Source organism: Homo sapiens, chromosome X (assembly GCF_000001405.40).
Source record: "Homo sapiens chromosome X, GRCh38.p14 Primary Assembly".
NCBI classification, from domain to species: domain Eukaryota; kingdom Metazoa; phylum Chordata; class Mammalia; order Primates; family Hominidae; genus Homo; species Homo sapiens.
The window spans coordinates 123,339,642-123,355,995 of NC_000023.11; the positions used below are offsets into that span (position 1 = coordinate 123,339,642).

General features: G+C 38.5%; 1 protein-coding gene across 2 annotated transcripts in view; it reads left to right on the forward strand.

Moving 5' to 3' along the window:
- Positions 1–16,354, forward strand: part of GRIA3 (glutamate ionotropic receptor AMPA type subunit 3) — a 306,638-nt gene that overhangs the window by 155,364 nt on the left and 134,920 nt on the right. For both annotated transcript variants that reach the window (NM_000828.5, NM_007325.5), the window contains exon 5: positions 15,269–15,322. In NM_000828.5, the coding sequence (NP_000819.4) occupies positions 15,269–15,322 (54 nt within the window). The remainder of the gene's footprint in view (positions 1–15,268; positions 15,323–16,354) is intronic.

Consider the following 16,354-nt stretch of genomic DNA (forward strand, 5'->3'; position numbering starts at 1 on the left):
AAGTTTCCAAGGACCCATTGAAGATCATCTGGTTTGGAAAGGGATGGAAATGTATAATTGCATAAGTATGACAATCCCCACTTATGTGTCAGCATGAACGCTAGTAAGAAGTGCTGATTCAAAAATTGAAACTGACTCAGATGTCATAAGACAGAACAGTAAAACCTGATACTAATAAGAATACGGGTTATACTGGCCAGAACACAACTTGACCTTTCATCATGACCTTTGGATCCTCAAGAAACAGACATTTTCCGTCTGCCAGTACACTAACATGGTATCTGAAATGAGACGATTCTGCTTAGGCATTAAACCACCTCCCTTCATTTTACAGTGAAGAAACTGGGGTGCTGAGAGAGACTGACATACATAATGGCCACACAACTAGTGAGTGAAAGAGCAAGGATTTAAACACAGATTTTACTCCAGTGCTCACACTCTTGGTGCCACACCACCCAAGACTATGCCATTACATGGACCAAATAAGCATCTATATATGGGTTCACCTGAATAGGTCACCTGCCTTCTTACCCCCATTTCACATCCCACCCAACTGTCTGTAATTAGCATTTAGATTAAGATAGCCTATTCACATGAAAGCATACTAAACCAGAGAGATAAAATTTAAAGTTAATATTACTTCCCACCCTTCTTCCCAGTTTTTGGAGTCCTTTCCTTTCTCATTATCCACAAACATTAATTGTATATCTGCATACAGGCAACTGTACTGGATGATGTGCACTCTAAGAAGTATGAAACTGGAGCCCTGTCCTCAAAGACATATCATTTAATTGGGATGGTAAGACATGTGCCCTAAGTTGGGTAAATAATTAGTAGACTGAGGGAAAGATGAGAAGTAGAGATTATATAGGAATTCACAGGGGGAAGTGCACTAGACAAATGAACCAGAATATAAGGCTTCATGAGGGCAGGGTGTTTTGTGTTTTGTTAACTGTCATACCCCTTGCATCTAAAACAGCTTGGAGCTTAGTAAGTACTAAATAAATATTTGTTGAATTAAATAAATATGCTTCTTGACTTGTTTTAGGAAAAAAGTCCTGATGTTTATCATTTGGAGACTAACTCTCAGTCCTATATGCATTCCACTTTGTGGATTTTACTCACGGTACACACACAGCAGGAGCTCTCTAGGGAGACTTGTAGAAATGACTATTCACCCTATGATGACTTAAACCTTTGCAAAACCCTAGCAAAGCTGTGTTCTCTGCTGCTCCCTGCCACGGATGGGTGTTTCCCAGCGATGAAAAACAACAGGGAGCCAGAGCTTTTTGTTTGTTTATTTGTTCATTATGACCTCAAGCTCTTTTCAGCAAAGGGCACAGACCTTAGATAGCAATGCAATTCTGGGAAATACAACTCCATTATTTGCTTGGCTCATCTAACAAGATAGAATGCAGACTCTGATTTAAAAGCAAGCTCCTTTAATGAGTTTTAGTTAGGGTTGATGGATAAACAGTTGTTATTACTGTCAGTAGGCACAGGTTGTAAATGTCTGTTTTCAATGCTTATATTCCATTACAGGGAACTCAGATGGGCATCAGAATACAATTTCCTTTAAAAGGTGGAATTAAGGGGAAACAAAAAAGCAATTTCAAATGTGGTCATTTTGTGTATCCCCAGATGGTCAAATTCTTGGTCTTCCAAGGCTCCACATTGCGTTATGATTTTTTGTAACTTATTTCATTTTTACCATTGTACAAATTCTTATTACTTTTGGCTTCAGGGCTTGGAAAGATACGGACAATTAGAATGTATCAGAACACTGAAAGGAAACCCAAGCATTCATTAAAAAAAAATGAGTGAGGCTAAACCCATCCTTCTCTCACCATGGCTTACACTAACCTCGCAGCACCACAGTCTGTGCCAGCAGGTAATTTCAAGTAAAAGATCTATATTAACACAAATGGAGAAGGATCTGATTTCATAACAAACAATGCTAAATTTGTGTGCTCTCTGATTTCCTCCAAAAGCTTAGAAAGCCAAAATCGTGTTCAGTTCTGTGGGTGCATCTAAGAAATTAGAATATCACGTACCACCATACAGGTATTGTGCTAAACATATTGCCCACTATAATCCTTTCACTTTCTGAGAGGTGTAGCTCAGAAGGTACCTGGTTTATCACGGAGTCTAAAGAAAAAATGAGAGGCCACACCTAAAGCAGGCTTATACTTTAAAAACAAAAATGTTTTATTAGGAAACTTTCCTGAACTAAAGCAAGAGTAAACACTGCCTTGTAGAGCTTTCCATATTTTTCAAAGATTTTTCCTGAAGTAGCTTCTTCATCCTCTGAAGTAGATAGGACTAAGAGTGGGTTTTTTTTTTTCATTACATAGATGAGAAACAGACATAAGAAGGTTAAATAACTTGCCTAAGACCACATGGTTAAAAGCACTAAATTTTAATCCTTATTTCCTAAAGACCTAGACCTATTTTATGTACCACATCTAAAGGGATGCATTTGGAAAGACAGCAATGAAATTCTTGTTATACAACATTAACTATGCCTGCCCCAATCAGCGCCCCCTGCTTTTGAAAGGTATAGCTATAGCTAATAACCTTTACTTTGGGCTTGGACATTTCTCTTTACCCCATCCCCACTCTATTTCCTGAAAGAACAATTAAGATCCATCTGGGACTAATTATAGCGATTCTTGAATTTGAACTCGCAGCCATTACCCAATTGAGGTCACTTATTTTAAATTAACTTGCCTGGTCAGAACACAGGTTTGGTTATCTTCAGAACCCAGTGCAGAGAGGTACCAGCTCACTCAGACTTTTAATTAACTAGCTAAATAACCTGCACTGTGACAAGCTGCCTATGATTTGATGGACTCATTCATTTGCATTCAGACAAGGATCAAAATACATTGTCAGAGCTTCAGGGACTGAGTCCTAGAAACCTTCACAGTCTCTTGTTAAAGGCTGTGAGCCACTTCCCTTTGGTTCGCTCTAGTTATTTTTCCTGTGCTTTTGTTCTGATTATCCAACATTCATCACAAGTGCAGCTTGTGATTAAACAATGACAACTCATGTCATATGCTGATAGGGAATCGAAAATTGGAGCCATGATCATATGAACCAAGCACAAAGCTTTGCAAAATAATTAGGGGAAACCAAAGGGAATTCCCTGGATGCCCAGCAACAAAGGAGAATTTCCAAAGTTTCGGGCCACAACTGTTCCCCACTTAGGTAATAATACATAATAATGGTAGGTACTCAGTCTTTTTTTAATTGAATTCATGGTGGGAGCTGACCATCCCACAATAGTAGTGACAGTTGTTATCATCAATAATTATTATTACAGCTTCCAACATTTAGTTCCTGGGTTCTTGAGTCAGATAAATCAGATTTTGACTTCAAGCTCTATCATTTTCAGCCTGTGAGGCATGAGACAAATTATCCAACCTCTCTGTGCCTCAATTTCCTTACCTGGAATATAAAATCAATAACAATGCCTACCTTAAAGGATTGTGGTGAAGCTTCAATGAGATGAAGTGTGTGAAAAAATCGTTTAACACCATGCGTTGTACATAACAAAAGCTCAGTACATTTTAGCTAACGTTTGTCTTGTTACATCCCACCACCAGGTTTTTATCCAGGGCATCTTTCCACCTGGGATCCTCTCTTCTCCCTGCCAGCAACAGTTCCCCTCATCATTCAAAACCTAGTCTAAAGATCCTTCTTTTTTCTCCAGTGGAAAGCCTTCCCTGGTTCTATCCCCTGCATGTAAACTTGTTCAGTGCCCATCCTTTCAGTACACTTTCTGCAATACACTTTTCAGATTTTCTATTATTTTAAATAGGCCATCTTCTACTGTTTCATAGGCAATCTGGACTTTTCTTCAGGATGTACTATTGTTTAAGACTTCCAGAATATTTATATAGATAACATATACAGAGAGAGAGAAAGCAAGAGAGAGAGAGAGAAAGACAGAGAGAGAGAGAGAGAGAGAGAGATTGAGCATCTCATTCAGAGACAGAGAGAGAGAGAGATTGAGATTGAACATCTCATTCCATTGTCCAGGCTGGAGTGGCGCAATCATGGCTCACTGTAGCCTTGACCTCCTAGTCTCAAGCGATCCTCCTTCCTATGCCCGGCAATTTTTTTTTTTTTTTTAGAGATAGGGTCTCACTATGTTGCCCAGGCTGTGAAACATTTACTGAGAACTACTCCAGTGCCACACACTGGGGCTGTATGCTGTGGAGTACAAGAGATGAGTAGAGATAGGGATGGGAGAATGGGAAGCAGCATTGGTTGAATCCCCTTATATTGCAGTTGTTCTGTTAGGAATTTTAAAAGCATTTTCTCATTTAGGTCTCACAATAACCCTAAAAGTAAGTGTCCTAGTTACTCTTAATGTACAGATGTGGAAACTGAGGTTCAGAGAGGTAAAACGACTTGTGAAATATCACCTCATCTTGGAAGAGGAAGAACTGGTCGATCTGACTCCAGAGTGCACTCTTATCATTAACTATGCTTTACTGCCCAACTCACAGTTTTGTTTTGTTTTATCACTTGCAGTGTTGTATGTCAAAGCAATACATAAACTTTAAAGTGTTACATATGTGACATAAGGTGATTGCAGTGTAGCAGATGCTGTTGGTGCCCTACCCATATCCCCTCAGCACTAACCTTTCCTATACCTGCCAAAAGCATCCTATTGTAGGCACATGCTGTTCTCCTCTTGAAGACTTTCTCTCAGCCTGGGAGTGAGACAAGTCAGAAGAGTGAGGGAGGAATTAATATTTCCCAAAGCAGTTATAAGCTAATGGTGAATGGGAGTTGAAAGTCAAAGACCCCAACTTCCTGGCCCTTTTGGTAGGTGTATTGTCCATCACCTCCAGAGGTCCCAGAGGTAATTTGCTGATTAATACACTGTTTTGTCACCTTTCTTCTCCCTGTCTCATTTCCTCGCTCCCCTACTAGTTCTTCATAGAATCACTTCCAATTAAACTACTGGCCCTCAAATCTTTGTCTCAGGGTCTGCCTTCAGGAGAGTCCTGGTTAAAACAACAATGTTTCAGAAATTCTTTTTTGGCTCCTTTCCCAGGAGTCTGGGTGAATTTCCTCATGCTGCTCCCTGCCTACCCAGGACTCACCATGGGTGATCCCTAAGGGACCACCTCATAGACTCAGTGTGTCCCTTCCTATCCACTTTGATGAGGATCCCATCATTGAGGGTCCTGCTTTTAGATTTTCAAAGTGCATTTATTATCAGATGGAAAGGTGGTTCTTAAATTTCAGTGTGCATCAGAATCACCAAAGGTGAGATGTTAAAATGCAGGCTCCCTGGCCCTAACCTAGACTTGAGAATTAGAGTCCCTGGAGAGGAGCTCAGGTGCTTGCATTTTCTAGATTCCCCAGGTGATCCACATAGTGTACACTTTGAGAAATACTGTCCTAAGACATCCATGTAGACTTGGCCTCAAGGGAATGTAGATTATGTTCCTTAGTGCTATCTCTACCTCCAAGGCCTCTGTGGAGTCAAGTAAGAAAGCCTGGAATAGTTATGCTTCCCTGCTCCTATAATGAAGCACGAATAAGGCCAAGAGCTAGATGCTACTGTCAGAGTAGGGCAGCCCAAGACGCCTAGGCAATGTTCTACAATGCGGAGGAGATATGCATCTTACTGACTGCCAAATTATTGCTCTCACCTCTCTCACTGCCCACCCCCAACCCCTATTCTCCCCTGTATTGGAAACACTGTGATGACTGCACATGCCCAGTTAGGTTATGACCTGTGCTCCTTTGTCTCTGAGTGGGAGCCCCCCTTCACAACACACACACACACACACACACACACACACACACACACACACACACACACACACACCTCCTTCCCAAACAAGGCTACTGTAGAGTTTGAGTTCATGGTTTTGATCAATGCTAGGGGCGGGAGAGGATGGCGCAGGGGAAGGTGGCAGTGCGGGTTACTTTGTTGTCAGTTTACCCCCAGCTTCTCTTCTCTTGTCCTTTTTGCACTCTCAGCATAAACGCCCAAACTCCAAGTACAAACCTCAACTCCTTCCCTCCATCTCCAGCCCAGTGCCATCCTAACCAGTGGCCCCAATACTCCTCTGCACCTGAGTAATGATGCCTTTCCACGGCCCCCATCCCACAGCAGCAGGAAACCTCTTCTCTACCTTTTGAGCTTGGGGAACAAAAATCAGGGAAGGCTTCTTGGAGGAGGTTGCATATGACCTGCGCCTTGAGGGATTGATGTGATTTCTACAGAGAGGGATGAAGGGAAGAGGCATTGAAATAAGGAGTAAGGAAGGGAGAGCATAACTAATATAGGATAAGCATTGGGCAATCTGTTAAGAACTATAGATACATTATTTTATTTATTCCTCACTGCAATTCTATGAAATAGGTACTAATGGTAGACCCATTTTACAAATAATGATACTGAAACCCAGAATATTTAAGTTGATTGCCCAAAGTCATACAGCAAAGTAGGAATTCTAAGCCAGGCAGTCTAGCCTGTACTCTTGACTACCCTACTCTACTGCCTCTCGACTATTGTAATCCTTATTTTACAGATAGAAAACTGAGGTTGAGAGGTTAGGTAACTTGCCTAAAGTTACACAGCTTATAACTGGCAAAGCTGGGATACATTGTCTTTAGCAGATACCATTCTATTTACTATCTAATCATTCATACCCTCTGTAACTTAGCTTTTTTCACCAATCATTTCAGTCACCACTCCAATTCTTATGGAGTCAGCCCTGGATACCATCACACCAAATGCTTATAGTTGCTCCCAATAAAAATCTTTCCCCTAGTGTGTAAGCACTGTAAAAGAGCAAGGCTCTTCTGAAATCAAGAGAAATAGCCCTCTAAAACACATCTCTCTTCATTTTCAAAATAGCATTCTGTTTAAGTTACCTGTTTGTCAGGTTCCCACTTATAAAAGCTACAGGAAAAATTTCTCTAGATCTTTAGTTGGAGACAAAGTACTTTCTATCTATAGCAAATTATGAGTTAATCATTCTCTCCTCAGTTGTACCTTGTACATATTTCTGTTCTTGCACTTCTCCCACTGGGTTATAATTGTCTGTTAACTTGGCTTTCTTTCCCACTCGAATGTGAGATCCTCCAGGCTAAGGACCAGGTTACTGTGACCTCTGTATCTCCATGGTCCAGCCCCAGAATTGGCACAGAGCAGGCATTCAAAAATGTTCATTAAAAGAAGAGAATAATGAAATGTGGTTAATAAATGCAGCCCTTCCATCCACTTGAGATTTTAATCAATATTCTTTCTGAATCCAGTGGTATGCTGGAAAACTGGCTCCCAGAGAGCAAAATAAAAAGCCCTGATTTGTAGTATTGTTCGATTTTTGTGGTGTTAGTACTCTCATCATGGCTGATTTCAAGCAACCAATGGTTTAATAACTGGCTCACAAAATTTCTGAATATTTAACAATGGGCTTTCAAGAGCCCCCTGTATTTCGCTGAAAGTCTATAATTCTGCCTAGGGTGCTTGAACTGTTAGCGTGTCAGTGTGATCAGAAAGGTGGATGAGCTGGCAGAGTGGGGAAAATAATGCCAGATGCAAATAGCAGGAGCGAAAGACCAAACCAAACATTTGTGAATTAAGAGAATTCTGTGTTTGCCTCCCATGAACTAAGCCTCTATCATTTGTCATCCATTTGCAAATTGAGATCCACTTAAATGACATGGCTCCCAGTAGAAAGAGAAATCTGCCAAGTAAGCAACTATCCTGAAAAATCAAAGGCCCAAAGAACACATTAGGTTTCTCAGAGATATTTACTTTTATTCGAAAATATAAACATGTTCACTCACTTCTTTCAGCAATCAGAAAATCTCCATAGATGAGGATATCAAGTGCTGGAAGCACTGCACAGATGGAAAATGCATAGACGAGGCATACCTAGGGAGTTCAAAAGGAGAACATCCCACCCTCTACATCCCCATATGTTTCTCTTCCCTCCCCACTCGGAGGCTCCATTGTTCTAGGCTGGACTTGGTCTCTAATACAATATCCTACCAGCCATGCTTAAATTTTGCACACAATAATGGAACTAATAAGTAAATGGCAGGATTTAAATCCAGAACCATCCGACTTCGAGGTTTATGTCTCTTTCTAGTACATCACCTTTAATAAATACCAATTTGTTTGCAGCTTTAAGGGCAACTCAGATAACATTTATAAAGAATTTTAGACTCTTACAAGTTTAAACACTGTAAGGTATCATTTTAGGTGTGACGAGTTATTGATCCTAATAAAAACCTAAAGATGGAGAGGTGTGACTCTTGAGCCAATGAAGGAAGTCTTGTTTTATCCCACCCACCCTCAAGTAGCTGTGGCTGGAAATAACACACATTTGAGTAACTACTCAGCCATATACCCGATGGTGCCATTCCTTAAAAAATAAAAAATCAAAGTAATGAGTTCACTGGCACTCTCAAGCTTGCTACTCAGTACCCATACAGTGCTTTCAGTATATCTGTCAGATATTCATGATTATATTGCTTTGGGCCCAAATGATTTTGCAAAGTCTATAGAGAACACAAAGATACAATTTGATATTTAGAATAAGGGTGTCAATATTAAAACCAAACATTGTTGTGAATGTGAATATAGAAATATATAAATAGTTCACAGTAAATTTCACAAAAGAAGATATCAGGAATGCTGTAATTTAAAATTTACTCTCTAAAATAAATTTCTTGCTAATTTGGGGAGATAGCTAATATCAGAGAAGCTACAGAAGTCATAAACATGGTCGTGTTAAAGAAAAACTAATTTCCCTTTGCTGTGATACTCTAGATTGAATACTAGTTAAAAATCACTCCAATTCTGCCTTCCAAAAAAAATCTAGAATATTTCCAAATATAAACAGGGTGCCATGAAAAGTCCTCTAGATAAGGTACTCCAAGAACAGCATTTGAAAATGCAACATAGCTTGATAAAGCATCATTTTACAGGATGCTGGCTGGTGGAAAGATCCAGGAATTTAAAGTATTTACTGTTGGACCCATGACCAAGGACTCTAGCTGATCAAAGCTGCAGGCATCCTGTGTGGGAAAATACATGTAAATTGCCTCAGGAAATGGTTTTGTAAGTTTCCAGATTTTTTACACAGTCCCAGGCATCATTTGCTACCTTCCGAACTCTGTCCATCATTTTGCTCCTTTACAATACTCAAGAAGATTTGAAAGTAGATGAAGATATTCTTAAAATTTCAACCATAAATGGGAAACTAACCTTTCATCAGGACAGGGAAACCTGATCTACATTCTCTCCCCTAAAGATATGATGGCTTTAAGGCAATATTTCCCACCATCCCTGGTGGTACACAAGAGGATTTTCAGTGACACCTAGATGAATACATTCTATTTTCATACAGTTGTATTTATTTTCTTGTATTAGTGTCATTGATATTATCCCTCTGGACATGACTAGATTTAAGTAGTGACTAGCTATAAAGGAAAAAATTAAGTAAATAATAGTCATGTGATATGCAGATAAGACAAAAATCATTAAGGACGTTTGTGAAGGAGTGAAATTTGAGAAATGCTGTTTTAGGATTAAGACAATGAAGTGTTCCCACAAAGGTCAACATGTATTTAAATGGCTGTTTATCCCCAATACCAATAATAATCTGTTGCTCCTTTAATTTATTCATGGCCATTTATTGCCTCTTATTTGCGTTGGTTCTTTGCCTCTCCTGCTGTTTAGCATTAAATCTTCCATGTATTCCATTGAGTCATGATGAATGCAATGTTAAAGTCTGGAAAGTGAAACTTCCCAAAGACATGTTCTTTGGTGAAATCCTTGTTCTCTAATCCTCACATCCTAGCATTTTATTTGATGCCTTATTCAATTGCCTTCTCTCTGCATAAGCTTCCCTGTAGATAGCATAAGCATTGATGAGATTCCTCGGTTATACTTCCGTTTTCCTTCTTTACAAAAAGCTTCAGCCTGTCTTTCTCCATCTGTACCACCCCCACCCCCATTACCATTGGGCTGACTTTGGTATGGGTGATTGGCTCTTCTCTGCCTCACTAATCCAGCACATTTATTCAAGTCAGATGACTGCAATATGAAGCATTGTCATTCGGTGATAGGAGAGCATGTGTGTGCAGATTAAGATTATTAGAAAATAATTCTAACAGAATTGACTTCTGGTATGTATTTACGAAGACTCAGGCAATTTAGTACCTTGGGGGTTTTATTCATGAAGATGAATGCCTTTTATCATATGGAAGATTTCTTCTGTAAAGTATGGCATGTTTTAAGGCTGATTTCTGTAGCACACCTCTTATTCAACTTCCAACATAGCCAAATGTAAATAGGATGCCATAGGACAACAGTATCTTTTTAAAAAAAAATTAACTAGGAGAGCAGGAAAAAATGAAGGGGGCTGAAAAATATCCCCTCTTTGAACATAAAGAATGTGGTCTAATAGCTTTTTCTTAAAGAGAAAGTATTCATACAATAAATGAAGAAAACTTGGTGAATTAAACCAGCAATCCCCCACACCCACACTTCTCTCCTAGCCCCTCAGACATTTGCAGGATGCCTAAATCAAAGAGAAATAGAGTAAGGTGAGCATCAAGGCATGTTGTTCTGTACTCAAAGCAAGATCAATCTTTATACATAGATCCTTTTTTGGCGCTGATGTAGAAAATCCAAACAAGGAGATACTTAGGTCTACAAATAACCTAATCTGCATACCAGATGGATCTAAGGGGGAAAAAAACATACACACTTCTCCACACACATATTTTTTTCTAAAATGTGAGCATAGAAAAACAGATGCTTTTGCCTCCCAACGGATCTGTGGGCCTCTCTCAAGTAGTCTTGTGGAGCAATTTCATTTCAAATTTCTAAAATTATGAAAATGTCTAGATTAAACATTAAATTGAAAAGGAAAGGGCCTCTTACATAGAAAACCAAATGAATATTTTATGAATTATTTTTAACTGCTCAGTGATACCCAACCCCCAGTTTCACAGATGAGTGGATATGGGGAGGGGGCCAGTAAGAGGAAGTCTCCCCAGAATGGGTTGACTATGATTCACTAACTTCTTTGACAAATAATTTGATGCTATATGCATCACTCTGTGTGTTAGTATGTAAGAGCTCTTTCTTCTACGAATGAAACTCTACTGATAAAGCTTCAGTGAATAAGGATTGTGGCATTTTTTTCTTTCAGATCCTATATGTGAGGATTAAAATAAATTTCCTTAAAACAATAAATTTTATCTATATTTCACACATTTCCCCTTATTACATTTAATATATCTGCTATCATATCAAGCCATCCATCATCTCCAACAAATCTTACAAAAGCAAAGTGAATACAGAACATGGATTTGGAAACTTGCTATTTCTTCCTTAAATTTCATGGTCGACTGTAAAAACAGCTTTTATACTTGAAGTTCTGCAACTAATTCAGAAAGAGCTATTATAATTACTGTAAAAGCAAAGTTGAATATTCTTTTGGTTACCAGAGTCATTAAGTAACTGAGGGTACAATTTATGCCTTGTTCATCTATAACAGATGGAAAGAACAAAGATTTAGGGTGAGCTGAACAAGAACCACTCCCATTAACTAGTTCCATTATGCATCGCACTAAGTACAATCCTCCCATCCCACCCTATTCCCATAAGCCCTGTACCAAAAATTCAAAAAAGGGAAAGATCAAGAGCAAAACATGACACTTTTTGTGGTGAGGGCTCCTGTAGCTCACATCAGTAGGATCATAGCTGCTCCACGTAAGTAAGATTTCAAGATAACTGAAATTTACTGTCTTAAGTATTGGGACTTTGAGCATTTCTTCTGGAAACCTTCCCTAAAATATGCATATCCCTGGGTTTTTCAGCAGAGATTACTGAACACAATAAACCATAGCCTGATGACTTAGGGAACATCCATGATTATACTGTGCACTAGTATGATGTTGTCTCGTTTTCTCATCCCTTCTTTCTCCTTTAAGTCAGTCTGTCACTTCCACTGCTACTAATGTACCTCTTTCTAATATCAGTCCCTCCCTTCACACACACCCTTTCTAGTTTGCAGCTTTTAATTTACTGTGAACTGGAAAACCAAGATTGGTAAGAACTATATGTTAAGTAAGAGTTAAGGCACTGAAAGCAAGGATGAGGAATTAATTATGGGCTTCAATACATCAGCTTTGTGACACTTTAATGTTCCTATCTTTAGATAAGCTTCCTATCCCAGTTTAAAGCTAAATTTTGAAAGGGTGTTGTTATAAGACAGCTACCTTCAAATAAGTAAATTTGTTCTGAGCAGACCAAAGTGGGCCTGAATTAAAGCAGATATCTTGATAGCTCCAAGTTTTTCTGAACCTGAAAAACAATGTCTCAATGAATGACCCCTTCCCACATTTATATAGCATCACACACTTAAATAATGCACATTTCAAACATTTTTTTTTTTTGAGATGGAGTTTCACTCTCGTTGCCCAGGCTGGAGTGCAATGGCACGATCTCAGCTCACTGCAACCTCCGCCTCCCGGGTTCAAGTGATTCTCCTGCCTCAGCCTCCCGAGTAGCTGGGATTACAGGCATCTGCCACCACGTCTGGCTAATTTTGTATTTTTAGTAGAGATGGGGTTTCTCCATGTTGTTCAGGCTGGTCTCAAACTCCCAACCTCAGGTGATCCGCCTGCCTCGGCCTCCCAAAGTGCTGGGATTACAGGCGTAAGCCACCGCACCCAGCCTCAAACACTTTTGGAGACATTATCCAGTTTGATCCCAGCAACACTTCTGATATAGGCAGGGCCAGATTATAGATAAGGAAATGAAGGCTCAGTAATTTGCCCACAAACAAACAATTAGTAAATGACAAGACTGGGGTCCTGGGTTCTCATTCACTGTTCTTTTCACAACACTGATGTCTTCTATTGCTCCCTCTCATCTTCTCTACACACAAAAAAACACTAAACTCTGCCTCTGATGAAAAAGACGTATTCCTTTTCCTTGGGATTCCTTCCTTATTCCCCTCTAAGCATTGCCAGATGTCTTTAAGAATATTGCTCATTTTTCTAGCAGAACTCAAAACCCTCTGGTTTTATTATGTTGAGAGTTGTCAGTTAATTAAAAATTCAACAAATGTATGGTCCCAACTTGCCACCAAAAGTTAACAAATGTCACCGGCAAGGATGTTTCTCGCAAGCGGACACTGAAGAATACATCCCAGAAGATACCTAACAGCTCATTTTGTGTCATGGAAGCATGAGAAATCACATCCTCAAGACATTTATTAACCTTTCATTTCCTCTATAAATAATCAGTCAGAAATGTGGCTCATAATTTAAATTAATCAAAAACTGCTCTCTTGTCCTCTCTCTCTCTCTCTCATACACACACACACACACACACACACACACACACACAAACACACACACACACACATACTTAAAATGACTTGTTGAAATGACTTGAGGGCTTGTAATGCCAGCATCATAGTCAAATGTATGGTTCCACTTCTCTGGGTCAACTTAAACATTGCCTCGTCCATGAAGCCTTCCCTGTTCATATCAGGCCTTAAATATCTCTTCTTCCTCTTGTCCAAGACTTTATAGCAATTACTAGCATTTGCTATTTAGCATATATTTAGAAACCATGTGAAGTACTGCCAAGAGTATGGGTTCTAGAGGCAAATGGACCCAGATTCCAATCCCAGCTTTACCGCTTCCTAGCTGTGTGGCCTTGGAAAAATTACATAAACTCTCTCTGACTGAAATTCCTCATCTGTAAAATGAGACTAATGATACTTAATCTGTTAAACTGTTCTGGGGATTAAATACATATAAAGCACTTAGCACCGTGCCTGCATATACTAGGCACTCAAATAAGGACAGTTAGACTTATTATTATTACAATCTTTCATGTATAGTTCTGGTTTGATATATGTGCAATTTTGAGGCCTTCTCACTTTGTTCTAAACCCTTTAATAGCTGCATCCAGAGAGAAATTTATCATAAAGCTTAAGCTTAATGGCCCCTCACTTGCATAGCTTCTTTCCAAGGCCTTGTTCCAAATTATGACATTCATAATTTTATATTTTTTTAAAGAAAGATCCTAAAATTGCATTAGCTTCAGGCCAGTACAAAACCTGGTTCCACCTCTGGTTGTGTCTTTAACCTCTATGTTATCCTGTTCCGTCCATGGGTACTCATTGTAGTACTTTGTACACAGTCAGTACTCAATAAAAATCCTCAGTTAGCCAGAGTTTTTGGTGAATTTGGCTTCAAGGAAATAAACATCAATTATTTAGTCAAAAACTTCTAACTTCTAACCAATACATTTGATTGGAAAATATTCAGCCCACTCACATATTTTGAGATAATAAAAATGTACTTCGTGAACTGTACAAAGTACATTTTTATTAATACAAAGCCTATTATTAGACTTGGTACTAATATAGCATTATTCATAAAAATTATGGTAAGAATGATGATACTGAGGAAGGGTTTCTCAACCTTAGCACTACTGACATTTTGGGCCTGAGAATTCTTTATGTGTGGGCTATTCCAAGCATTGTAGGATGTCTAGCGACATCCTTGGCCATTACTCACTAAATGCTAGTAGCACCCTTCCCAGTTGTGACAATCAAAAATGTCACCAGGCATTGCCAAGTGTCCTCGAGAGGAATCCCTCCTCAGTGCCCTAAGGCATCATGATCAGCACCAAAAGATGTACAAGCGATTACAAGTCTTTCAAACTAAAGCAGGAAAAGGAAGATAATTATTTTAGAAAAGTTTTCAATAAGCAAAAGCAACCTCGGTTAACCTGAAAATCCCATTAACCCCATTCCTTGAATGTTCTATTCCCTTAGCATTCCAGATAAAAACAACAAAAAAAAAATACTGTACATTCTATTTTCTACTTTGTATGCAAAGTTCAGCTGATTTTCCATCTCAAAAGCTAAGTACAGAAATCGAGTTCATGAGTGGGGGATCTTCAGCTTCATCACTTTTGCCATCTATTTTAAGTGACAGTGATGCTATTGACCTGAAAGTTTAGGGAGTTTTTTTCCCCTTGTTTTGACATTTTAAGTTTGGTATTAGCAAGTCTTCCTGTTTTATCTAGTTGAAAGCGAAATGCAACAACAAGAAATCTGATCCAATTAACTGTGATTTTCCTGTATATAAAAGCTCTAACATTTTGTTCTAGCCACCCCACTGATTGTGCAATTGAAAATGTCCTTCTTGAATAAGCAATATGTCTTATTTCTTCTTTCTGCAGGTTGTGATCCTAGGGAAACACTCAAGAGGTTATCACTACATGCTCGCTAACCTGGTAAGAACAAGCAAGTGTCCCTGGGCAATATATCCTATTTAGTTTGAATTTTTCTGTAATCATCCAAAAAGGAAATACATCAAGTACCTAATGCTTTCTCCAGAAACTTGGAGAAATGACTTCGGTAAATACCAAAACCTGAATGCAATAGCCTTGCTTTCAATTATGCTGTCGTTTTAGCTGTGAAGCAGCTATATTCTTTCCTAATTTAAAAAATAATTTGATATGATTCATTACTTATTTTTAGATTCAATTTCGGTTTGAAATGTAAACTATTTTAATTGGGTTTGAAAGATAAACCATGGAATTGGGGACACAGGAAACTGACTCTTTCCCAATTGATTCAAGTATATGTGCAGATCAGTACTGCATTTGTCCTTTCAGAAGCAGACCACTACCAAATCTTTTTGAGCAGATGTCAGAGTAGGTTTCAACACAGTACATTATATGACCCTGCCAAAGTGTATAGCCACCTTTCTACTTACATAAAACACAACTTGAATCTTTACTTTCAAACTTCCCATGCCTTTAAAATTTGTGACACTGTAGAAGCTAGTATTTCATTAAGGTTATTTTATACATTTTCTTTCTCTGGAAGGACAATTTGTTTAGGAATTAACAAAATTGCTTCTAAATTAGTAATATCTGTTTGGCAGAGGTTCTGAATAATACCATCTCCATGAAATGAAAGAGAAATGTTAAATTATCGCTATAATACTAAAAATCTATTAAGTTATTACATGAGTTCTAACCCCAATTTTGTTTCATTAGCACAAGAAAATCATGATCATTGTAAAGCTCTTAAGCCAAAAGAATAGAAACAAAGGTGAAAGATTATTGTAATTATATTCTTATATTTTTTAATCAAAGAAATATCTAATATCTTATTTTGTTTTCATAATGAATATTTTTTAAATGAAAAAGGAAATGTTACTTAAACCTCTTTCTTAGGGGTATGTGCATTCAAACACTTTATAAGATGCAGATTAGAGCTACTGCTTTCAAATGTAGTGTGCATTTTTCTCCAATAAT